Source organism: Homo sapiens, chromosome 20 (assembly GCF_000001405.40).
Source record: "Homo sapiens chromosome 20, GRCh38.p14 Primary Assembly".
NCBI classification, from domain to species: Eukaryota; Metazoa; Chordata; class Mammalia; order Primates; family Hominidae; genus Homo; species Homo sapiens.
In genome coordinates, this window is record NC_000020.11 from 2,074,669 (window position 1) to 2,101,544 (window position 26,876).

General features: G+C 41.7%; 1 pseudogene, besides 2 other annotated features; it reads left to right on the forward strand.

The window, feature by feature from the left end:
* On the forward strand, positions 891–1,220 carry RPL7P2 (ribosomal protein L7 pseudogene 2; annotated as a pseudogene).
* Positions 20,009–20,510: an enhancer, noted in NCBI's record as "H3K27ac hESC enhancer chr20:2075323-2075824 (GRCh37/hg19 assembly coordinates)". NCBI's record gives its function as "activates a minimal SCP1, AML or CMV promoter by ChIP-STARR-seq in primed H9 embryonic stem cells {active_cell/tissue: H9 hESC(primed)}" and the evidence as "EXISTENCE:reporter gene assay evidence [ECO:0000049][PMID:30033119]".
* Positions 20,511–21,010: an enhancer, noted in NCBI's record as "H3K27ac hESC enhancer chr20:2075825-2076324 (GRCh37/hg19 assembly coordinates)". NCBI's record gives its function as "activates a minimal SCP1, AML or CMV promoter by ChIP-STARR-seq in primed H9 embryonic stem cells {active_cell/tissue: H9 hESC(primed)}" and the evidence as "EXISTENCE:reporter gene assay evidence [ECO:0000049][PMID:30033119]".

Below are 26,876 nucleotides of genomic sequence, written 5' to 3' on the forward strand. Positions count from 1 at the left end.
ACTAGCTGGGTACAGTGGCACACACCTGTAGTTCCAGCTACTTGGGAGGTTGAGCCAGGAGGATCACTTGAGCCCAGGAGTTTTAGTCCAGCCTGGGCAACATAACCAGACCCTGTCAAAAAAAGAAAAGAAAAGAAAAAGGAAGGAAGGAAGGAAGGAGAAAAATTAACAAAAAATATCAACTTTCAGCAAACTAGGAATAGAGGGGAACTTCCTCGACTTGATAAAGTACAGATAAAAAAACCTTACAGCTAAAAACATATTTTGACAAAAACAAACTCACTAGAACTAATTGGTGATTATAGTGAGTGTGCAGGATACAAAATTTATGTTTAAAAGTTAATCAATTTCCTATATGCCAGCATTGAAAAAGTGGAATTTGAAACAGAATACTATTTACATGACCACTCCAAAAATGAAATACGTAGGTATAAATCTAACAAAGTATGTCCAAAATATATATGAGGAAAACTATGAAACTATGGTAAAAGAAATCTAAAAAGAACTAAATCAATTGAGAGATATTTCATATTCATGGATAGGAAGATTCAATATTGTCAAGACGTTGGCTCTTCCCAACTTAGTTCAATGGATTCAATACAATATAAATCAAAATCAAAAGCAAGTTATTTTGTGGATATCAACAAATCGTTTATATTTAGAGGCAAAAGATCCAGAATAGCCAAGACAATATTAAAAGAGGAGAACACTATTAAAGAAGAAAAACAATATTAAAGGAGAAGAAAAAGTGTCAGGACTGACACTATCCGATTTCAAGATTTAATGTAATGAATGCTACATACTTCGGAGGCTGAGGTGAGAGGATTGCTTGAGCCCAGCAGTTCAAGGATGCAGTGAGCTATGATCATGCCACAGCACTAAATAGATGTAATCAATAAGAAAAGAATTGCTTTGACAGATAACACTTTGATTGCTCGATATCTTGGCAAATACGGCATCATCTGCATGGAGGATCTGATTATGAGATCTATACTGTTGGGAAACGCTTTAAAGAAGCAAATAACTTCCTGTGGCCCTTCAAATTATTCTCTCCACGAGGTGGAATGAAGTAACAGACCACCCATTTCACAGAAGGTGGAGATGCTGGCAACAGGGAGGACCAGATCAACAGGCTTATTAGAAGAATGAACTAAGGTGTCTATCATGATTGTTTTTCTAATCTGGTCAGTTAATAAACAGTACCTGCTCTCAAACGGAAAAAAAAAAATACACACACACACACACACACACACACACACACACAAAGCTACAGTAATTACAGTAATCAAGACTGTAATATGGGTGAATGAATAGACAAATCAATGGACCAGAATAAACATCCTAGAAATAGACCCACATAAAAATAGTTGATCTTTGACAGAGGAAGAAAGGTAGTACAATAGAGAAAAGATAGTCTTTCAAAAAATAATAATGGAACAACTGGTCATTCACATGCAAAGAAAATGAATCTAGACACAGATCTCACACTCTTCACAAAAATTAACTCAAAATGGACCATAAACCTAAATGTAAAACACAAAATTATAAGACTCTTAGAAGATAACATAAAATAAAATCTAAATGACCTTGTGTATGGTGATAACTTTTTAGATACTATTTACATTATTACACCAAAAGCATGAAACATGAAAGAAAGAACTGATAAGCTAGACTTCATTAAAATTAAAAGCTGTTCTTGAGAAGACAATGTCAAGAGAATGAAAAGACAAGCCACAGACCAACAGAAAATATTTGTAAAAGACACATCTGATATAGGACTGTTACCTAAAATATACAAAGAACTGTTAAAAACTCAACAGAAACAAAAAAACCCTGATTTTAAAATGGGCAAAGGACCTGTACACACACCTTTGTGTGTTGTGTTGTGAAGATATATGGATAACAAATAAACATCTAAGCAGATGCTTCACATCATATGTCACCAGGGAACTGCAAATTAAAACAGCAATGAGATATCACTACATACCCATCAGAATGGTAAAAATCCAAAACACTGATGACATCAAATGCTAGTGAGGATGTGGAGTAGCAGGATCTCTCATTCATTGCTGGTGGGAATGCAAAATGGTACAGCCGCATTGAAAGACAGTTTGGCAGTTTCCTATAAAACTAAACATACTCTTATTGCGTGATGTAGCAATCACACTCCTTGGTATTTACCCAAAGGAGCTGAAAACTTATGTCCATGCAAAAATATGCACATGGATGTTTATAGCAGCTTTATTCATAATTGCCAAAACTTGAAAGCAATCAAGATGTCTTTCAGTAGGAGAATAGATAAAAACTGTGGTACATCCAGACAATAGCATATTATTTAATACTAAGGAAAAATGAGCTATCAAAACATGAAAATAGATGGAGGAAACTTAGATGTATGTTCTTAAGTGAATGGAGACTATCGGAAAAGGCCACATACTGTGTGATTCCAACTATATGACATTCTGGAAAAGACAAAACTACGGAAACAGTAAAAAGAATCGGTGGTTGCCAGGGGTTGGGGGGAAAGGATGAATAAGGAAGAGCACAGAGGATTTTCAGGGTAGTGAAACTACTTTGTGTGATAATGTAATGGTGGATACATGTCATTCTAGATCTGTCCAAGCCCAAGATATGTACAACACCAAGAGAGAACCCTAAGGTAAACTATGGACTCTGAGTGATAAAGATGTGTCAGTGAAGGTTTGTTGATTATAACAAACATAACGCTCTGGTTTGGGATATAGGAAACTGCTGCCACATACACACAACTGTGTGTATGTGGGAGCAGGGGAAATATGGGATATCTCTCTACCTTCCACTCAGTTTTGCTATGAACCTAAAAGTGATGCAAAAAAGAAAGTGTATTTTAAAATTAAATTTCAAAAAGCTAGCATTTAATGTGTGCCAGGCACTATGTACATATATATATATATATATATATATATATATATATATATATATATATATATATATATATATTTTTTTTTTTTTTTTTTTTTTTTCTTTTTGAGACAGAGCCTCACTTTGTTGCCCAGGCTGGACTGCAATGGCGCAATCTCGGCTGTCTGCAACTTCTGCTTCCTGGGTTCAAGCGATTCTCCTGCCTCAGCCTCTGGAGTAGCTGGGATTACAGGCACCTGCCACCACGCACGGCTAATTTTTTTTTTTTTTTTTTTTTGACGGAGTCTGTCTCTGTCGCCCAGGCCTCTCTCTGTCGCCCAGGCTGGAGTGCAGTGGCGCGATCTCGGCTCACTGCAAGCTCCACCTCCTGGGTTCACGCCATTCTGCTGCCTTAGCCTCCTGAATAGCTGGGACTAAAGGCGGCCGCCACCACGCCCGGCTAATTTTTTGTATTTTTAGTAGAGACAGGGTTTCACCGTATTAGCCAGGATGGTCTCGATCTCCTGACCTCAGGTGATCCGCCCACCTCCCAAAGTGCTGGAATTACATGTGTGAGCCACCGCGCCCGGCCTGTGTACACATAATTTAATTTTCACAACAATGCTATAAGATGGTTCTATTACTGGGTTGGAGTATACTTCTTCAAATGAAATTCTGTGTCAAAACTGACCTGTGAAAGACCTCAGGTGTCTTAGAATTGACCGTGGTTAGGCTGGGCGCGGTGACTCATGCCTGTAATACCAGCACTTTGGGAGGGTGAGGCAGGCGGATCACGAGGTCAGGAGTTAGAAACCAGCCTGGCCAATGTGGTGAAACCCTGTCTCTAGAAAAAATACAAAAATTAGCCGGGTGTGGTGGCACATGCCTGTACTCCCAGCTACTCAGGAGGCTGAGGCAGAAGAATCGCTTGAACCCAGGAGGTGGAGGTTGCAGTGAGCCGAGATCGTGCCACTGCACCCCAGCCTAGGCGACAGAGCAAGATTCCATCTCAACGACAAAAAAAAGAAAAAAAAGAATTAACCATGGTTTATCCCTCTGGAGGACAGAAGTATGAGGCAGAAGTCATTGAAAGAATTTTCATGCCTCTCAACAAAAGCAGATTTGGACTTTCGAGAGTTGACTCTGGCTGCAATATAGGAGATGAACAGAAGAAGAGGAGAATGGCATTTGAGAAGCAATCCAGATGAGAGATGGGGTGGCCTGAACCTGGGCAATGCCTGGGAGGAGTGGAGGATTTAGGAAGAAGAATCCCCCTGGTCCAGGACTAAGTGCATTGCCAGGGCAGGAGGAAGGGTGTCCAGGCAACTTACTCACCTGTCTCAGTTCACTCCTTATCAGTGAAGGTTCCTAACCACAAGCCACAGATACCAACTCTGATCAGCGTAAGCAGAAAAGAAATAAACTAGGAAGAAATGGGGTGGTACAGAAAATTGCCAGAACTGACTAACCAGGTTAGGGGCAGAAACAGGTGCTTCAGGTGCCCCATGTTACAATTGCTTGGCCCCAGCTGTGGTGAATAGATCTATTCACATTGATCATGTTCTACTTCAGGGGCCTACTCCATCTCTGCTTTTCTGCCTTGGGACTTTCTTGAAATCCCAGGAGTCTGCTCAGCCCACGCATAGGTTCAGTTCAGAAGTGCAAGAATATGGCCACTCCTGGAGGCAATCCAATGGGGAAGGACTCTGGCACATAAATGCCTACTATTCTTTTTGCTTCTCAGAGGTCCCTGGAGTTGAGCCCCATTTCCTTTAGGAGCCACCTTGAGAATGCACCCTTTCTAGGCTTTTCCTCCTTCCCGCTGTCATTCTCCTTACTTCCTCGTACCTACTTCCTGGGATCACCTCCCAAATAAACCATCTCCACCTGAGGTTCTTGTTTCAAGCTCTGCTTTTGGAAAAACCTGAAGACAGAGACTCTGCAACAGGGAACCATGCTGAAAATCAAAGTACAGGACAAAGTGGTCCAGGAAGCACACCTCTGATCTAGGGGAGCACTGAACATGGTGAAGTGCATCACTGACCCCTCCCACCTGGGAGCCTGGATGCTGCCTCAGCACCACGACCACCCCTGCTGCAGGAACACGAATTTCCTGTGACTGCTGCCCTTGTCATGCAAGCCTTCCTCACCATCCTCATTTCTTGTGTCACTTGTTTTCTCTCCAGAGTGTGGGTAAGTGTACCTGACTGGCTAAGCCCAGCTCACATGACCATCCTGTAGCTGCAAGGGAGGCTGGGAAATTGAATACGTCTCCTTGGAGGTTTTGAAATCCCAAGTGATGTCTGCCTCCCATTAAGACTCATAATATGAGGAATTCTCCAAATATAGCAAACAGAGGCAGGATGGCCCCCAAATAAATAATATCCATCCCACATATCGCACAGGTTAGGGCTGGACCCACTTGGATACTTCATTCCCCTGTCCTGAGAAGCGGTAGCATCTGGTGCTGAACCAGACAGTTGAGGTGTTGCCTTGACCTTGACTTTCCTTTACCAAGTTCAGATTCACTTTTACAGTATTCAAAAGAGCTTCAGTAAAACCCAGCCCTACTAGGGAGCCTAAGGGCAGAGGCACAAAGAGTTGTGATAATTGCCCTGCCTTCCCCTTTTTCTTTTTTCAGACAACGCACTCTGCCTTCTGCTGGACTTTGAAGTGTAATTCAAAGGACTGAGCTGATTTACTCCTATCCAGACCAGCTCTCAGCCCAATTAACAAATGCTTCATCCTGAGACTGGGAACACAGGTGCTGCTGGGAGAAGTTGGGCTTTTCCACCCAGACGCAGGAGGCACATCCCTCTAAAGGAAATGGGGAAAGTCAACAGATGGGGAAACACCAAGTGGTCACCTAAACTGAGAAGAGAAGTTGGGGGCCAGGAAAGACTTCCTGGAAAAGCTGATATTTAAGATAAGTCTGGAAGGAAGAGTAGGAATTAACTCCACCTAATAGGAAAAAGATGATCTAGTCAAATTACCTGCATGTGCAGAGGCCTGGAGTTGTGTGAAGGTAAGATATATTCAAGGAATAAAGCCAGGGAGAGAGCTTAGAGACTCAGACAATAAGTGGATCATCAGTTCTTAGGGGATCTGAGACCCCCTTGAAGAATCTGATTAATTCTACCCCAAAATTGAGCCCATATACCTGCATATACAGAAACTGGCACACTGCCAAGGGATGCAGGGATCCAAGATTAAGAATCCATTATGTCCCCAACCCTTCATCTGCAGATGCACAACAGCCCCAGAGAGGGCTAAAGTGGAAGTCACAGCAAAGCATTGTTTCTGCAACAAGATTTGGTTTGGTCTCTCTTTCAGGCTGGAAACTTACCTCAAGGGACTGATGATCTTTATCTCAAAGGGAGGCGAGTAAAAGCTGATGGAAAGCTTAGTAAGCACGGAGAGGGTTTCACAACTGATGTATTTCCTTATAGGCAATTGAGTGTCCAGCCAGATTTTTCACTGAAAAGTTCCAAAGGTCACGATTGCAGGTCCATTCTCTGGGGCAGTTCAATTTCTTCATAGAAAGAAGCTCCAGTCCATTGCCTGTTAGGGGATGGGGGACATTGCCCAATGAGCCTAGATGTAATGTTCTAATGCTGGGCTAGGAACAGGTTGGAGGTGTCATCATTCGGGAGGCAGCTTTTTAGTTAACCCCTATGTTGTTCAGCCCCCTCCCACCTCTCCCCTATATCGCAGCCAGAGTCAATGCTCTCTTTGTGGCTGCTAAATCTGGAACCTGATTCAAATTTCCCAGAGATCAAATCCCCGGTGGCCTCTGGGGACAGACGTGCATGGCTGCATAAGGTCAAAATGCCCCCACAAAGACTTTCAGTCAATCCTCGTGTTTTCAGCATCCTGCTTTCCCTCCACCTCCTCAATGTCTGGTTCTGCCAATTCCTGAGGCTTTCTGGCATTCTGGGGTGAATTGGATGTTCCTCAATAGATGCCCCTTCGAAGGCGGCAGGGTTAACCTTCTTCCACTCTGCCAAATTGTTTACCATTCCCCAACACAGTTTCTGTCTTCCTTTACAGTGTTGCAGGGCTAGAGATGTTCTACGGGCTTCATCAAAGATGGAAAGGGTGTTTCTGTTGCATGTTCTCCTAATTGTCTGAAGTGGATTTAATGAGAAGAGAAGTGGATAGAAACAAAACTTGGCCCTCCTTGAATATACTTAACACTGTTGATCTTTACACTTTGTAAAGTTGTTCAGATGGTAAATTTAAGCTATGTGTGTGTGTTTTTTTAATCATGATTAAATACAAGACAAATAAGCAAAACTCAGCCATCTTACTAGAAGTGTCCCCACTGAGTTTTCCACAAATTTTGAAAAACAAACACAACAAGACATTTCCTTTAAAATTTATTTACATGTACAACATGAACATCTTAATTCCTCCTAAACAATTTATTGAGGCTATTACAAGGACTGTCTAGAGTGGTGCCACTTAAAGTATGGTTTCTGGACCAGCAGCAGCCACAGCACTTTGAAACTTGTTAGAAAAGCAAATTCTTGGGCCCTACCCCAAACCTACTAAACCAGAAACTCTGAGAGCAAGGTGCAGCGATCTGTGTTTTAAGAAGCTCTCCATGACAAAAGATGACCAGCTTTGTGATGGTTGATGCCCAGTTAACGTTTGACAACCACTCATCTAGAACAATATGTGGGAAAAACAAATGAAGGAGGTTGAAGGTCAAAGGAAGGGCCCAACTTCATAACCTGGAGAAAAGCTAAAGGAAATCATGAAAGGAGAAGAAAAGGTAACTGCCATTCATTGAGTGCCTACAATGTGCAAGGTACCATGCTTCCCAGTTTACATATGTATCTCATTTAATCTTCACAGTTTTCTTCAAAAGAAAGACATATTTCCCCCATTTTACAGATAAGAAAACTAAGGTTTAAAAAAGGTAAGCAAGTTAGCCATGTAAAAAGGATTTCAACCACGGGTCTGTCTGACTCCTTAGGCTCTTCTGTTTATTTTCCATATGTCACTTTTTTATTTTTATTTGAGACAGAGTCTCGCTCTGTCACCAGGCTGGAGTGCTGTGGCACAATCTCAGCTCACTGCAACCTCCGCCTCCCAGGTTCAAGTGATATTCCTGCCTCAGCCTCCTGAGTATCTGGGACTACAGGAGTGTGCCACCACGCCCAGCTAATTTTTGTATTTTTAGTAGAGACAGGGTTTCACCATGTTGACCAGGATGGTCTCAATCTCCTGACCTCATGATTCACCTGCCTCGGCCTCCCAAAGTGCTGGGATTACAGGCATGAGCCACCATGCCCGGCCCCATCACTTTTTAAAAATTAACATCTTCACTGAGAATATCACTGACTATGGAAGAACAGAAAAAAAGAATGTCTTCATTGCTTGGCAAAATCCTGTTCTTCCTCCTAAGCAGAACCCAAATGCCACCTCCTCTAAGTCTTCCAGGACTGCCCTGCTCAAAGTTAACTGTCTCATAGTACCTTGCACATACCAGTCCTGCAGTACTTCACAGACCTTATTGTACAAGTTCTCAAACCTTGGGTCCCAGGGCCTCTTAAAAATAATTAACATTCACAGGCAAATATAAACTTTGACTTAAACCTCACACAAGAAAATTAATTCAAAATGGATCAAAGGTTAAATATAAAACACAACACTATAAAACTTTAAATTTTTCATTTTTATTTTTAAGAGACAGGTTCTCACTCTGTCTCCCAAACTGGAGTGCAGTGGTGTGATTATAGTTCACTGCAGCCTCAACCTCCTGGCTCAAGAGATCTACCCACCTCAGCCTCCCAAGTAGCTAGGACTACACTCATGAGCTACCATGCCCCACTAATTTTTTTTTTATTATTTTTTGTAGAGATGAGGTTTTGCTATGTTGCCCAGGCTGGCCTCAAACTCTTGGCCTCAAGTGATCCTCCCATGTCAGCCTCCCAAACTGTTGGGATTATAGGCATGAGCCACCATACTTGGCCTATAAAACTTTTAGGAAAAAGAATTAAAAAAAAAACATAGGATATCTTTGGAATGTAGAGCTGGGTGAAAAATTCTTAAACTTGATACCAAAACATGATGCATAAAATAAAAATGGATAAGATGGATCCTTCAAAATGAAAACCTTTTGCTCAAAGACCCTGTGAAGAAGACAAAAATACTGAAAGTATTTGCAAACCGCATATCTGAAAAGGCACTGCTATCTAGGTATATAAGAAACTCTCAAAATTCAAGAATGAAAACAAACAATCTAATTAGAAAACGGGCAAAAGACATGAACAGACATTGCACTGAAAAGGATCAACAGCTAGTAAATAAGCACGTGAAAATATGTTCAACATCATTAACCATTAAGGAAATGTAAATTAAAACCATAATGAGATATCACTACATAACTATCAGAATGGCTAAAATAATAATAGCGGCCAGGCGCAATGACTCACGCCTGTAATCTCAGCACTTTGGGAGGCCAAGGCAGGCGGATCACCTAAGGTCAGGAGTTCGAAACCAGCCTGGCCAACATGGTAAAACCCTGTCTCTACTAAAAATACAAAAATTAGCCGGGCACGGTGGTGGGCACCTGTAATCCTAGCTACTCAGGAGGCTGAGGCAGGAGAATTGCTTGAACCTGGGAGGTGGAGGTTGCAGTGAGCCGAGATTGTGCCACTGCACTCAAGCCTGGGCAACCGAGCAAGACTCTGTCTCAAAAACAAAAACACCAAATGCTGGTGAGAATGGTGAGAATGGATCACTCATAAATTGCTGGTAGGAATGTAAAATGGTACAGCCATGCAGGAAAAAGACATGGCAGTTTCTTCCAAAATTAAACATGTGCTTACCACACATGCAATTGTATTTGGGCATTTATCCCAGAGAAATGAAAACTCATATCCACATATGAATGTTCATACCAACTTTATTCATAATACCGAGAAATCAAAAATATCAAATATTCTTCCACAGGTGAATGATTAAACAGATGGTGTTACATGGCTACCATGGAATGCTATGCAGCCACGGAAAGGAATGAACTATTGATACATGCAACAACATGGATGGTCTGAAGGGAACTATGCTGAGTGAAAAAAAAGACAATCTCAAAAAAAGTTACATATTGTGTTATTCTACTTACATGGCATTCTTGGAATGACAAAATGAGAGAGAGAGAGCACACAGGGATTAAGGATGAGGGAAGGAAGAAGGTGGCTGTGGCTACAAAAGGGTAGCATGAGGGATCCTCGTGATGAAACTGTTCTGTATCTTGACTGTGGTGGTGGTGCCACAAATCTACACGTAATAAAGTTGCATAGAATTAAATACACACACGCACACACACGTGAGTGCATGCCACACATGACATCTGGATAAGGCGGGTGGATTGCATCAGTGCCAGTTTTCTGGCTGTAATATTGCACTAAAGTTATGCAAGATTTTACATAATAACAGCAACCACTGGTAAGAATGCAGAGAATTATGAGAATGGAGAGAACAGATCACTCATAAATTGCTGGTAGGCATGTAAAATGGTACAGCCACTGTATTTGGGTGAAGGGTATAAAGGATCTCTGTATTATTTCTTACAACTGCACATGAGTCTACAATAATCTTAAAATTAAAAGTTTTTTAAAGTATTGAGTACTCCAAAGAGATTTGTATATCGATATGTACTGTACCAGAAATTAACAGACATTTTAAAAGTATTTATTAGTCTATTTTTAAGGCAATAATAAATCCATTACATGCTAATATAAACAAAACATTTTTTGTGAAATATGAGTATATTTTTCAAAAAACATAGTGTGAAGAGTGACATTGCCTTATATTTCTGTAAACCTCTTTAATGTCTGGCTTCATGGACAACTGGATTCTCATGTCTGCTTCTCTATTATGATGTGTTGATAATCACACATCATGTAGCCTCTGCAGGGTTTTCTGGAGGTACGCAGTTGGCCCTTGACCAACACAGATTTGAACTGGGCAGGTCCACTTAGACACGGATTTGTTTCAACCAAACGCAGACTGAAAGTACAGTATTCTCAGGATGTGAAAACAGCATGTATAGAGGGCTTTGGTTTACAGGAGTTCCACAGGGCTGACTGCGGGACTTGTGTATGTCCTGATTTGGGTATTTTCAGGGGTTCTGGAACCAATCCCCTGTGTATACAGAGGGATGACTGTATGAATCTGGGCTCGATTCTGGGGTAAAACCCTCTGTATACTTGTGAAAGAAGGAGAGTGAAAAAGGCAAATAATGCCTCGGTGTTATTATGAGAATAGTTTTAACCTCATGGATGCTTTAAAGGGTCTCAGGGTCCCCCAGGTAACCCCGATCGCATTTGGTGATGATTTGTCCATGCGTGCTCTGGCCCTTACAAGTGAGTTGGGGCAAGGAGAGCATCTTTTCAACTTTGTATTCCAAGTGCCTTGTACAGTGCCTGGCACTCAGAGAGGGAGAGAGAGGGCGAGGGAGTGAGAGAGAGAGCATGCGCCAATCTGGTTGACAGCATATTGCTTTAGACTTCTAGTTCTGAGTCAGAGTAAAAGTCAGAGCGTTCTGATATAGCTTGGTCTCATGGAACAAACACTATTCTAAGAAACCAGTTTCATGCTCCTGGGGCATGAAACATGGGGCTGCAGTGATGGAGTGGCCTTTAAAAAGGGTCACAGTTTCTCACAAGTCTTGACCTTGAGGCCATTCAGACCAAGCACGGAGAGAAAGGGGCTTAGCGGGTTATGCAGACGTATAATAAATGATTTCCTCCTAATTTACTACCTTCCTCGTAACTCCCGACTCCTGTCCGTCCCCAAAGCACCCATTAGGGGCCAGTCTCAGTCCACTTGGTCCACAGCTGCTCTGGGAAGTGGAAAAGAATTTCAGGCCACAATTTCAGATTATGAATTGATTCTCAGTTCTCATCCAAAGTACTCATCAAAGCACAATTTAGCCAGGAGCATAGAAAAACGCAGATGCTGACTTGAAATTGCCCCTGAAAAATGTCTGTTGGTATCTACTGTGTGGCAGACACTGAGTCAGAACTGTGGGAATATTCCAAGATGACCCAGCTTGGCCCCTGCCTCGAAGAGCTCCCGATCTCATGGTGAAATGATTTGACTACAGCTGGCCAGCAACAAGGACTCTAAAGTGGAATGAGCAACCAGTGAAGAGAAATCAACTCTTCTAGGATCGGGGAAAGGAAGTTTGCATTTGATTTTGTTTTTGAAAGGAAGAGAGGGATGTGGCCAGTAGAGGGAGGACAGTGTACGGGAAGGTATTGTATTAGGGAAGATAGTTAATTGCTTTGACATAGATCTAAAGTCACAGTGGTCAAATAAAATAGGTTTCTGTCTTTTATAACAGTCCAGGCTTATGTATTCTATGGCTCCCACAGTGACCCCACAGCATGAAGAACCCAGACTCCTTCCTTCCTGATGCTCCACCACACCTGAGCCCCAGTCCTCATCTGTTTGCATGGTCCAAAGCCATCATATCTGTGTTCCAGCCAGTGCAAATAGGGAAAGGGGATAGCAGGCATACTCTTCCCTCCTAAGAGCACATTTCAGCAGTTGCACGTTTTACTCCTGCTCTTGCCCCATTGGCCAGAACACAGTTAAAAGGGAGATTGGGAAATACAGTTTTTAAATGACGGCCTCTGTTGCTGTAGAAAAAATTGGGAGACAACTAGAGGTTTCTGCTCCAAGCACAGGGATGAGGAAGTGGAGGGGGGTTTTAGAAGGAGCCAGTAGCTAAGTATGTTTAAAAATTGTTGGAGGAAGGAAATACAGTAAGAAAGGTAGGTTGGGGCCACAGTTGCCCCAGACTGTGGGGCTACAGACTTTATTCTGTAAATCAGTGGTTCCAAACTTAAGTATGTATCAGTATCACCTGGAGGACTTGTTAAAACCCACATTACTAGGCCTCACCCCCAGAGTGTCTGGTTTCATAGGTCTTAGGAGGGGCCTGAAAATACGCATTTCTTTCTTTTTTCTTTTTTTTTTTTTTTTGACAGTCTTGCTCTGTCGCCAGGCTGGAGTGCAGTGGCATAATCTCGGCTCACTGCAACCTCCGCCTCCTGGGTTCAAGCAATTCTCGTGCCTCAGCCTCCTGAGTAGCTGGGACCATAGGTGCGCACCACCACACCCAGCTATTTTTTTGTATTTTTAGTAGAGACAGGGTTTCACCATGTTGGCCGGGATGGTCTCGATCTCCTGACCTCAAGACCAGCCCACCTCAGCCTCCCAAAGTGCCGGGATTACAGGCGTGAGCTACAGCGCCCAGCCAAAAATACACATTTCTAACCAGTTCCCAGGTGCTGCTGGTCCAGGAACTTTGAGAAATGTGGAGCCACAGAAAGTTCTGAAGAGAGAAATGGCATCTGTATTTCAGGAAGTTGTCTGTTATAGTAGAGAACAAGCCGTACTGAAGCTTCTCAGAGCACCAGAGCTTCACACCTTCTTGATCCTTCATGTTCCTGAGAAATTGCACTCAAGAAAAACAGGGATGATAAAGAGCCTGCAAAGCAAGTTCATAGAATTTCCAACTGCCCAGGGCTCAAGGATTACTCCCCACTTCCTGGCAGGGCTAATGGCATCAGCCTCAACTATCATTTCTTTGCTTTGTGTGCAGAAGCCTGGATATGGGTGGTGTGGGGCAACTCCCTTTCCTCCCTGCACCCGGGTTTCTCCATCAATAATAATAATGAGAATCATTTACCTGTCTTAGGTGCCAAAAATGATCAGATGACACAGATCAAAAAGTTAGACAATGTCCCAAGACTGTGGAGACTCCAGCACTTGCCTACACTGTGGAGAGTGAATTGGCATGGCCTCTAGAAAGCAATTTGATAATCAAACCAGAATTAAGATGCTCATAACCTTTGACCTAATAGTTCTATTTCTAGGAATGGAGCCTATAGATACACTCATGTTTATTTGCAAAAGACAAAGTTGTTCAGTGCCCATAATTTTTACTGGAAAGAGATAGGAAACAACCTAAATGGCATCCATAGAGGGCTGGTTAAACAAACCCTGGTGCATCCAAAAATGGAACAATAGACCAGGCTTTAAAAATATTAAGTTAGAGCTACATGAGCCCATTTAGAATATATACATCTTAGAGCACATCTCTGGAAGGATTTAGAGAGATAGTTTGCCTTCGAGGATAGGAATTGGAATGGAGGTCCGGGATGAGAAGGAAACTTCCTTCTCACTCTAACCTTCTGTTTACTTGTTTGATTTTTTCTACTCCAAGTATGCAGTACTTGCTTAAATACATAAACACACAGGTAGTGCCAGGTGCCTTCCATGCTTTATCTCACTAAATCTTCAGAATAACCTAGAAGGGAAGCACTCTTATTATTCCCAAGGCACAAGGAGGTTAAATCATTTTGGGGAGGGGCTGCAGGAGAGAGGGGAGAGAAGGAGACTTGATTTGTAGGGCTGCCCATTTCCATAGTGTGAATACTCTCACTGTGACTGATTTCAAGCTCCCAGCATGATGTCACTGAACAGAGTTGGAAAGAGAAGCTCACAGTCAGCTCTCAGAAGCACAGAAGAGCCAACTCCAGCACACACACCACTGTAGGGAACCTTGCACCTGTAAAGAAGGCACCATTGTCTCTTTCCACTTCATTCCTGAAAGAGTTGGTTTCCAAGAACAAAAGAAACGCAAGCAAATACATCACTTCAGGACCTAAAAGCAACTTTCCCGATCCTTATAAGTACTGGGGACTTCAGCTATAGTGTAAACAACACGCATTGTGTTGCAATGGATTTGAAACAGAAACCCAGAAATTAAAATTAAGCATCTGGGTTTTATATTTGCAAATTGCTTTGTCATTTTCTTTATGAAATACTGCACACAGCTATACCACCATAAGGCAATAAAAGAATAATAAATGAATCAGCGCTAGCATTCTGTCAGCACAGCTTCACACACTTATGGAGGGCCAGCAATCTAAATTAGGAAGGTGGTTTAGAAACTTTGTCAGTGCTTTAATGGAAGAGGTGAGTCAAGAGAATCAGACAGGCTTAGATTTGCATCCCAGTTCTACCACTTGCTGGGTACCTCGGACAAAGCACCTCACCTTCTGAGTCTCACCTTATTCATGTGTTAAGTGGGGATAATGCCCACCATACAGACTTCTACAGGCTGGTTGGAATGTTTAAGAAACAAAGTCTGGCCGGGAGTGGTGGCTCATACCTGTAATCCCAGCACTTTGGGAGGCTGAGGTGGGTAAATCGCTTGAGCTCAGGAGTTCAAGACCAGCCTGGGCGACATGGCAAAACCCAGTCTCTACAAAAATTAGCTGGGCGTGGTGGTAAGCACCTGTAGTCCCAGCTACTTGGGAGGCTGAGGCAAGAGGATCACCTGAGCCCAGGGAGGTCAAGGCTGCAGTGAGCTGTGATCACGCCACTGCACCCCAGCCTGGGCGACAGAGTGAGACCCTGTTTCAAAAAAAAAAAGAAAGAAAGAAAGAAATGAAATGAAGTTAACATACAGTATACACCTGGACATAACTCAAGGTGTTTTTTCCCCAAAAAAACTCTTAGAAGAGAGAGTTGCCTTATATTTAAGTTCTTATAAAAGCTCACAGAATCTTTCATATTCCCTAGACTCTCTCAATTACTTTCTTTTAAACAACAAGGTATTGTTGGAGGTAGGCCAATCTATAGAAGTCATCTGAAGGAAGTAGTTAAAAAAAAAGCAAGCAATTTTCGACATGGATGTAAGTCATTACACTGGGGACTGACCTCACACACTTTATAAAGATGTAAGCCTTAAGAAAGAGCACTTTTAAAAGCAATACATAAAATGTTTGGATGTTGTGATCACAAATATAAACCAATGGGAGAAATGGAAAAACAATCTGTCCTAAGATTTAGTGCACTGGGAATTCTAAGATAAAATATTTCAGAGAAAGCATCATATAGAGGCTCAAAAAGTACTGGATCACAATTTGGATAGGAGTGAAAATTATGTGACCTAGAAAGAAGGCTGAGCGACATAGAAATCATCCCCAGTGACTGAGATCAAAGGTGCTCAGAAAGAGATGAAAAGAATTGTTTTGTGAAATGGAAGAATGGGAGAAAATCCAATATTTCTCAATGTTGAAAGTGTGTATGTACCTAAAATAATAAATTAAATATTACACAGATATTTGATTATTTATACCACCTTAAGAATTTATATATTCAAGTTGAGACCCCAAATATTTTCTCTTCTGCAATCTTCTTAGTGTGACAAGTGAGAGGGACACCTTACATTTTGGGCCACCCTATGTTGAGACATGTCTAATAGGTGAAAGCACTTTAAATCCCACAAAGCTTTGTATGATTTGTGACAAGTACTGTTATGGTGGTTAATACTATTTTTATTATGACTTTTCTACCACAGGGTGGACTCTTTGGCTATGCTCCTCTAAGCACTTCTCCAGGTGGGACTCCCCTGAACTATTTCCAAGTTGTGGGAATTTTTTTTTTTTTTTTTTTTTTTGAGACGGAGTCTTGCTCTGTCGCCCAGGCTGGCTGGAGTGCAGTGGTACGATCTCAGCTCACTGCAACCTCCACCTCCTGGGTTCAAGCCATTCTCCTGCCTCAGCCTCCCAGGTAGCTGGGATTACAGGCATGCACCACAATGGCTGGCTAATTTTTGTATTTTTAGTAGAGATGGGGTTTCACCATGTTGGCCAGGCTGGTCTCGAACTCCTGACCTCAGGTCATCCACCTGCCTCAGCCTCCCAAAGCGCTGGGATTACAGGCATGAGCCACCGTGCCCGGCTAATTTCCTAGCTGTATGATCTTAAGCAAGCTGCATAACTTGTCTGTGTCTCTGTTTCCTCATCTGTCAAGTAGAGATAATAACAGGATTGAGAATTCAATAAATTATTATATTGAGAAGTGTTTATAACAGTGTCTGGTAAATGCTTCTTAAATGTTAGTTATTATTTTCAGCAAGGGAGAACTTAACTGTTTGTAAACACATCAGTTTTCTTCACCATATGATGAGATTTTACCACCAGGGACCCTGTCTTATTCATCCCAGGATCCCCAACTCAAACACGGGGGCTAACATATAGTAAATGTTTGCTGAACCTACAATAATTTCTATAAAGAAAGAAAGGTAGTATATAAAGTCCAGAGCCCAACACAGACCCTGGTTCCCATTAGTTGAAAGAGGCACACCGTGAGTGTTGATAACTGGCTCAGCCTCATTTCTCACTGACCAACCAAACTCTAAAACAGCATCACAGTGCGATAGAGCTGGAAAAGACTCAAGACTGGATGTTTCTTCGTGTCTTCTCTAAACAATGAGTTCCTCTACAATAGGAACTGAGTTCAATTCATCTCAGTCCCCAGTCTGGCAAACAGTAGGGGCTTAATAAGTACTCATTGACCAAATGAGTGATGAAGTACATTCTACACTATTGTACGTTACTTGTTTTTTAAACTGAATTTTATTTTTTTAAATACCTACAAAAAAGAACTCAAATTAATACCCAAATATGCACATAAAAACTTCAAATCATACAAAATTATCCTGAAAGTGAAAGAATCACCTAGGGAGAATTCTTGGCATCTAGAGTATTATTTATACAAATGTTTCCATTATGTATACAGAAATTAACATGTAAGTACAAACGCTGTATCATGTGCTAGTTCAAGATCAAGAGCTTTGGAATCAGATACACCAGGGTTGGAATCCAAGTTCCATCGCTTTTTAGTGGTATAGCCTTGAAAAAGTAATAACCTCTTTGTGCCTCAGTTTCTATGGAAAATAGAGCTAAAAATAAAACCTACCCTAAGGCTTATTGGATTAATTAATTAATTATTACATATGAGCACTTAGAACCATCAGAATACACAGAAGTAACTCAATGAAGGTTAGCAATTATGTATACATGTTTAAACAAAATGTGGTCATATTATAGATGCTTGTTTGCATTTGCTTTTTTATGTAACAAAATATTGTGTACATGTATTGTATGGTAGTACATACAGAGCTAACTCCTTCTTTTGATGGGCATGTATTTAAATATATGATGACCCTGTGTAACCAAGCCTCTACTTTTGGTATTGTTTCTAATATTTTATTATTATTTTATATATATATATATATATATCTCACCACAATAAAATCCTTGTTGCACATATATTTTTCCACACCATGTGAGTACTTCTATAGGATAAATTCCTAGAAACGGAATAGCTGATCAAAGTGTATTAATTTTTAATTATATTAATAAACAATGAGTTATCAATTTGCCTTTCTAAAAGACTGTATCACTTTACATTTTGATTAGTGAGTGTACTTTGTTGCCTTATGGTTGTGTACATTTTAACCAGACGCCCCAATAATTTATTTTGAATGTCCCAGTAGTTACAGAATTAAGGACTTTGCCCTGCTCATTTGGCATTATAGCCCTTTATCTTTCCAAAAATCATAAACAACTCCTAAGAACTTAGCAACCAATTTCCTGCAGCAAATATTCAGATACATAGCCTGACAAAAATTTGTATGCCATTCCCAAATGGGAGAGGAAGAAATGTCAGACATTTCTTAGCCTTTTCAGTGGCCAGTAGGAAGAACACTTGAAATTAGACCCATCTATTAAGTTTTGGAGACAGGGTGGCTGTTATCTGCACCCATCTTTGTTTTCTGTAACTGAGACCCTCATTTAATAGACAAGAAGCCTCTCTGTTGAGTATTACTGGGTGCAGTGTCTCTAATCCAGTGTTCCCCAAGTGTGATAAGGGTACTATTGTTAGCCCTCCAGATGTGTTTAGGTAATACAAGGAGGACAGGTGAACCCCTTGGCCAGAAGCTGAACAGCGCCACCAAGCTGACAGGCTGCTTCAGTGGTGGCTAAAGCTCATGCCCACTTTTAGTTTTAATTTCAATTTTAATCCAAATGATAAATAGACATAATGTTTGAGTTAGATACCATTACAAGTTAAATACTACCACAAAGCTTATAACAAAAATCCTGTTTCACCTCTGATCCCATCCCAGAAGCAGTAACTTTAATTCTGTAGTTATTTTTCCACACTTGATTATGGGATCGCTCCTTGATTTAAATTTTTTTTTATTAACTCACGGCTATGGAAGATAAGGATTTAGTTATCTCTCCTTTTCTTCCCCCTCCACCATACACACAGACACACTTTCCGTCTCCAAGTCTCCCAATATAATTATATCATAATTTTTGGTTAAGTCAAAGTGCTGTTTTACATGACAATGACAATGTAATATTATTTCCAGCTGAGTGTTGTAGTTTATGATGATTACAATGTTTTTCTTATCAATTGTTTTTGTTTTCTTGCCTTTAATAATCGCTTCATGTTTTATTTGCTTAGTTTCCTAGGTAATTCATTCAGCTCCTATTCATCCTCGAATTCTTACCAGAACTCAAATCCTCTCCAGTTCCCTCTGCTTTGTGCTCAGTCTAGGAACATGACAGTGTGATGTAGTGGTTCTCAAAGCATGGTTCCGGGATAACAGCGTCAACATCAGCATCATCTGCGACCGTGTCAGAAATGCAAATTATCAAGCTCTACCCGAGACTTACTGAATTAGTCGCACTGTGGGTGGCTCCAGCTATCTGGGTTTTAATCAGCTCTCCAGGTGATGCCAGTGGATTGGGCACTCAAGCTTGAGAGCCATAGGTCTAATGGTTGAAAACATGGATACCCAAACCTAAGGCTGCTGGGGTCCAAATACCAGGTATTCCGGTCATTGGTGATGTAGCAACTTCCAACCCTCAGTCTTCCTAGTTGTCTTTGTTTTTCTTTTGAGACAGAGTCTCACTCGTCGCCCAGGCTGGCGTGCAGGGCATGATCTTGGCTCACTGCAACATCTGCCTCCCAGGTTCCAGCAATTCTCCCACCCCAGCCTCCCAAGTAGCTGGGAGTACAGGCATGCGTCACCACGTCTGACTAATTTGTGTGTTTTCAGTAGAGACAGGGTCTCACCATGCTGGCCAGGCTGGTCTCAAACTCCTGGCTTCAGGTGACCCACCCACCTCTTCCTCCCAAACTGCTGGAATTACAGGCGTGAGCCACCACATGTGGCCAGTCTTCCCATCTATAAAATGGGGACGAAAACAGCCTCTCCCATATAGAGTTATTGCGAGTTGTGTGGTGTTAGGCATCATGACAAGCTCTAGCGTTTCCTGGAGACAGCCTTCCTGGAGCCCTCTGAAAATCCAGAGCCATTATGGGAGGGGAGCTCTCCAAGGCGACTGCACACACTCCTCCAGGCCTCCCTAGTACTCCCTGCTCAGGGGATCTCCTTCATTGAGGCAGCCACCTCAAGCTTCAGTCTTCAGCACCTCCTGCTCCCAAGATCCTCCTCCTATACCCCTGTGCCAGCCTCTCTGCCTTTAACCCTCTCCCACGCTCGGCTCCCCCTTCTACAACCACCACACCACCTCATTCCTAGCCCCTACCCCCATGCCACCTCTGTCCTTAATCCTCAGCCCCAATCCTTCCTCCTCACTCCGCATAATCCCTCTTCCAGCCCCCTGGAGCAGTCTCAGCCCCCTGTCTCCTACCTTCCATTCCCCCACACTCCTTTACTCCATCCACCCTTCCCTCCCAGGACGAAGCTCCCTGCTTTCCCATGGCACCACCCCCAGGGCTGGCTGCCCCTCGGGTGTCCTCAGCCCCCTGAAGTACAGAGATGGATCACCAGCCTCAGCCTTACTATTCTGCCTTCTCACTTGGGACGGTTCTTACCTATCCGAGCTTCAGCACTCTCGTGTGAAAGGAGGGCCAATGGGGTCCAGCCACATCACCGACCGTAAGTGCTTGGCATATAGCAAGCACTCAGTAACTCCACCATTCTTTCCATGGCCCCTGAGTCCCTGCCTCGTTATGGGGCCCCACACATCCCTCTTCCTGTGTTTCCCACCACTCTTCCCCCATTCACTCAGCTCAGGCCACACTGGCCTCCTTGCCTGCTCCCTCCCACCTAGGGCCTTTGCTCTTCCCTCTGATCTGAAATGCTCTTCCAGTAGAGATGCAATTGACCTATTCTTTAACTTAAATCAGGTCCCTGCTCAATGGTCACCTCCTTAGAAAGCTTTCCCCAAACCACCCATTCTAGAATACCATCGACCCCATCCCTTGCTATCTTTTTTTTTTTTTTTTTTTTTTGAGACGGAGTTTCGCTCTTGCTGCCCAGGCTGTAGTGCAATGGTGCAATCTCAGCTTACTGCCACCTCTGCTTTCTGGGTTCAAGTGATTCCTGTGCCTCAGCCTCCTGAGTAGCTGAGATTACAGGTGTGTGCCACCATGCCCGGCTAATTTTGTATTTTTAGTAGAGACGGGGTTTCTCCATGTTGGTCAGGCTGGTCTCGAACTCCTGACCTCAGGTGATCCGCCTGCCTCGGCCTCCCAAAGTGCTGGGATTACAGGCATGAGTCACCATGCCCAGCCTCCATCCCTTGCTATCTTTTGTTTACTTTCTGGTCCCTAATGGGTCTACTGTGATGTGGGACTGCATAACTGCACTGTCATATTGTCTGTGTCAGCCCCTCAAGGCAGACACTGAGTTTTCTCCTGCTCATCCCCATACATCAGCTCCCAAACTGCCTTGCACATAGAGGAGTAAGGGTTCAAAAAATGTTAAATGAATGACTTTTCTTACAGTAAAAGTGTAGCCATTGCTTTATTCAGCCAGTGTCAGCGACTCCTTGAGTGTAGAGAGCACAACCAATGATGTGACATTCCATGCAGCTCTCTGTGCTCAGCAGAGAAAGGACTTCCTTCCGCATCCCTGGCCTGCTAAAAGGGCTGAAAACCTCACTGCTTGGTCGGTTACGGTGGCTCACGCCTGAAATCTCAGCACTTTGGGAGGTCAAGGTGGATGGATCACTTGAGGTCAGGAGTTCGAGGCCAGCCTGGCCAATATGATGAAACCCCATCTCTACTAAAACACACACACACACACAAAATTAGCCAGGTGTGGTGGCAGGTGTCAGTAATCCCAGCTACTCGGGAGGCTGAGGAGGAGAATCATTTGAATCCAGGAGGTAGAGGTTGCAGGGAGCCGAGATCATGCCACTGCACCCCAGCCTGGACAACAGAGTGAGACTCCATTTAAAAAAACAAACAAAAAACCTCACTGCTGCTCTTCTCTTCTACATTTCTTCTATCACTAAATATTGAGCTCAGTCAGATGTTTGGTACTGTCTGAGGTTCCAGGGATACTGAGGCAGGCATGTTTGTCAACAAGAAAGATGTAGAAGAGGGCTCGCTGTAACGTTTACACTGCTTAGCCTGGGGAGGGGCTGAGTGCGATCAAGAGATGTGGAGTGTCTGGGGCCTCAGTTTGAAACCCAGCTGTGCCAGCTTCACATTCGGTTTCTTCATCTGTAAAATGGGGCTAATGAAAGTCACTACCTCATGGAATTGTCGTAATTCTTTGTTAATCCCTGTGCCTGGCAGACAGAAAACTTTAGTAAATGTTGGCTATTAGTCCTAACAGTAAAGTATAGGTTACTTCCATAAGTTAAGCAAGACAAAAACAAAAACTAAAAATTTGGTCAAGGCATCAAATGATTTATCAAGCAGTCCAGCCCTCTTAACAGCATATAAAAGGATTCACACTCCTTGTGGTCCTCCCAGAACTTCATATTCAATCTCTCTCAAAATTCAGGTGGGGGATACAGCTGGAGGCCATTATCCTAAGCAAATTAACTCAGGAACAGAAAACCAAAAACCAAATACCGCATGTTCTCACTTATATGTGGGAGTAAACAATGGGTGCTCATGGACATAAAGACAGGAGTAGACACTGTGTATTACTAGGGTGGGGAGGGAAGGGCAAGGGTGGAAAAGCTACTGGTTACTATGCTCATTACCTGGACGATGGGCTCAACTGTATCCCAAACCTTAGCATCACACAATATATGCATGTAACAAACCTGCACAGGTACCCCAAAATCTAAAAAAACAAGCTGGAATTATAAAAAGTAAATAGGCCGGGTGCAGTGGCTCATGCCTGTAATCCCAGCACTCTGGGAGGCCAAGGTGGGAGGATGGCTGAGCCAGGAGTTCGAGACCAGCCTGGGCAACATGGTAAAATCCTAGTGGCATGTGCCCACAGTCCCGGCTACTCAGGAGGCTGAGGTGGGAGGATCACTTGAGCCCAGGAGGTCAAGGCTGCAGTGTGCCATGATCATGCCACTGCACTCCAAGCTTGGGCAACAGAGCAAGACCCTCTCTCAAATAGATGGATAAATAGGTAAGATGCCTAAAAACAAAATAAAAACATGTATATGTGTATTAGAAAACAAAACAAAACAAAATCAGATAGGAAAACTAGCCAGGAGGAAAGACACTGCTGGCTGTGCTAAACCTACGAAGCCAGTGATACAGGAATGGGGCCAGGGCCACACAATGCAGCCTTCTGTCCTTAGAAACTTCTAAGTAAAGACACAAGTGTTCGCAGCTACAGGGTTTTGGCTTTTTTTTTTTTTTTTTTATGTTTTAATTCAACTTTGTCGTGGTACAATTTACACACAATAAAATTCCATCACCCAGAAAATTCCCCTGTGGCCCTCAGCAATCAATTCCCACCTGAAAAACAACCACTGATACGATTTCTGCCACTCTAGACTATTGTTGGTTGACTTTATATTAATGGAATTATAGTATGTGTTCTTTTCCAATTTTTTTATAGCTTTATTAAGTTGTAAAACTGATTTACATAAATACACCTAATATAAAGGGTACAATTTGAAGTGTTTTAATATATTCCTATCTTGAAACTATTACTACAGTCTAGATAACCCATCACCCCAAAAAGTTTTATGTCCTTTTGTTTTCTATCCACCCTTCCTACCCCAACTACTGATCTGCTTTCTGTCACTACAAATTAGTTTGTATTGTTAAGAATTGTATATAGAATCATCTAGCAGGTACTCTCTTGTGCCTGGCCTCTTTCACTCAGCATAATTATTTTGATTCATACATGCTGTTGTATCAATACTTTATTCCTCCCCCCATCAACACACCCTCAGCAACATTTCATTGTATGGGAATACCACAATTTGTTTATCCATTCATTTATTGCTGAACACTGCAGCATTTTCCAGTTTGGAATTCTTATGGGAAAAGCCACTGTGAATTCCTATACAAGTTGCTTTATTAACAGAAGTTTTCATTTACCTGAGACCCATGGAATTGCTGGGCCACAGGGTAGACATATATTTAACTTTATAAGAAACTGCCAAACTGGTTTTTTTTTTTTTTCCCAAAGTGGTTGTACCATTTTAAAATCTTACCACATGGCTGGTTTCACAAGCTTGTATCCATCTCATGGCTTTTGTACTTGTTCTTCTTTCTTCTTGGAATGACTTCCCATTCGGTTTCAGAGCTGGGTTCTTGACATTCAGGTTTCAATTCAAATGTCAAATGCCAAAGAGGCTATTATGGACTGAATTGTGTCCCTCCTCACTCCAAATTCATGTTGAAGTTATAATTCCCAGTACCTTAGAATGTGCCTATATTTGAAGATAAGGTCTTTAAAGAGGTAATTAAGATAAAATAAGGCTGTCGGAATGAAGGACAAAAACCATACTATCATTTCAATTGATGCTGAAAAAGCATTTGATAAAATTCAACATGGTTTCATGATAAAAACCCTAAAAAAAACTGGGAATAGAAGGAAAATACCCCCACATAATAAAAGCCATATATGACAAACCCACAGCTAGTACCATACTGAATGGGGAAAAACTGAAAGCCTTTAAGATCTGGAATACAACAAGGATGCCCACTTTCACCACTGTTATTCAACACAGTACTAGAAGTACTAGAAGTACTAGCTAGAGCAATCAGGCAAGAGAAAGAAATAAAGGGCATCCAAATAGGAAAGGAAAAAGTTAAATTATCCTTGTTTGCATATTATATCTTATATTTGGAAAAACCTAAAGACTCCACCAAAAAACTGTTAGAACTGATAAACAAATTCCGTACAGTTGCAGGATACAAAATCAACATACAAAAATCAGTAGCATTTCTATATGTTAACAGTGAACAATCTGAAAAAGAAATTTAAAAAGTAATCCCATTTACAATAGCCATAAATAAAAATACCTAGGAATTAATTTAAAGAAATGAAAGATCTCTATAATGAAAACTATAAAACACTGATTAAAGAAATTGAAGAGGACACACAAAAAATGGAAAGATATTTCATGTTCATGGATAGGAAGAATCAACATTGGTTAAAATGTCCATACTACCCAAAGCAATCTAAAGAGTCAATGCAATCCCTATCAAAATACCAATGACATTCTTCACAGAAATAGAAAAAAGGTTATGGTTAAAAAGACCTTCTGATCACCATTTTGCAACTGTAATAATTGTTTCAAGCAAGAATCACCATGAATTCTGAAACCAGTGGGTAAGAGTCTAAAGAAGAGGATATTTAAATAGTCTCAAAATATCTTCCCACAGAATACTTAATAGTTACAGAAGGAAAAATCGTAACTTTATGGTAGAGTGTAACTACTCCTACACCACCTCAACCAAATGATGGAAGTTAACACCACGAATACTGGGACAAACACAATGCCATGTGCCTCCTGATGAAAGGCCCTGAGGAGGCAACTTTTTTCAGCAGTAGTCCTGCCAAAAAATGCATACCCTCTCAGAATAGCAAGGGATGGGTTGGTGGGGGGTGGGGGAGGAGAGAAAAATGGATACTCTGAAACTAATAAGAAAACACAGATGAATAAAAATTTAGGGACATTCTACAATATAACTCGCCAGTATTCTTCAAAAATGTCAAGGTCATGAAAGACAAAGAAAGGCTGGATAACTAACTGCCCTTCCAGATTAAAAGAAACTAAAGAGGCATGACAACTCAGTGCAACGTCTGATCCTGAATTGGATCCTGGGGAATAGCTATAAAGGACATTATTGGGACCATTAGCAAAATTTAAATATGGATGGAGTGTATTAAATAAAACAATTGTATCATTGTTAAAATTCCTGATTTTTGACCACTGTACTGAGATTATGCCAGATAATGTCTTTTTTTTAAGGAAACACACACATATATTTAGGATAAAGGAGTTTGATGTTGGAAACTCTAAAATGATGTAGTAAAAAAGAATATATACATTATATATGTGTGTGTGTGAATATCTATATACCGTATACTGATTTCCTTTCTTTTGGGGTATATACCATATAGATATCCACACACAATATGTATTTGTGTGTATATATACACATACACGAGAGGATATGGATATGCAGCAAAATATAACAATTTGTTATTCTAGTGGAAAAGTATATGATCTTTACGATTCTTGAAATTTATGTGTAAATTTGAAATTTAATCACAAAAAAGTTAAGAGGTTTTCAGCGACCAAATACATTATAAGAAATGGCCTGTATCCAGTGAGCACTCTTTAGCTCATTCTTTTTCTCCATCACACTTACCACTGGCAAAAATTATCCTGTGCATTTATTTAATAATACTTAACATTGTGTGCAAGGCTGTCCTAAGTGCTTTACCTGTATAACCTCTGTGGATCTTCTTACAGGTAAGGAACAAATACACAAGAAGGTTGACTAACTTGCCCAAGGCCACCCATGTGGTTTGTCTCCTGCAGTGGCACAGAACCTCAACCAAGGCAGAAACTGCCTTGTCTATTGCTCTTTCCCCAGCGACTTGGAATGGTGCCTAGCACATTACGGGTGTTCAATAAACATCTGTAGATTCAGTTAACAAACACTGGGCACCCACTAGGCCTACACTGGAATACAAAATACAGAACAAAATATTCAAAAATCTGTGCCTAAATGGGAGCTTTGGGTACTAACAGCCCCACACCCAATTAGCCTCCATCTAGGTATTTCATTTGGGTCTATCATTCCTGGGAATTAAAGCCCATTCTATCCATTTTGCAGAGGATCATTAGATAAACGGATGCTCAGGGTGGGTCAATGATTTGCACAAGATCACTGGGCTGGTAGAA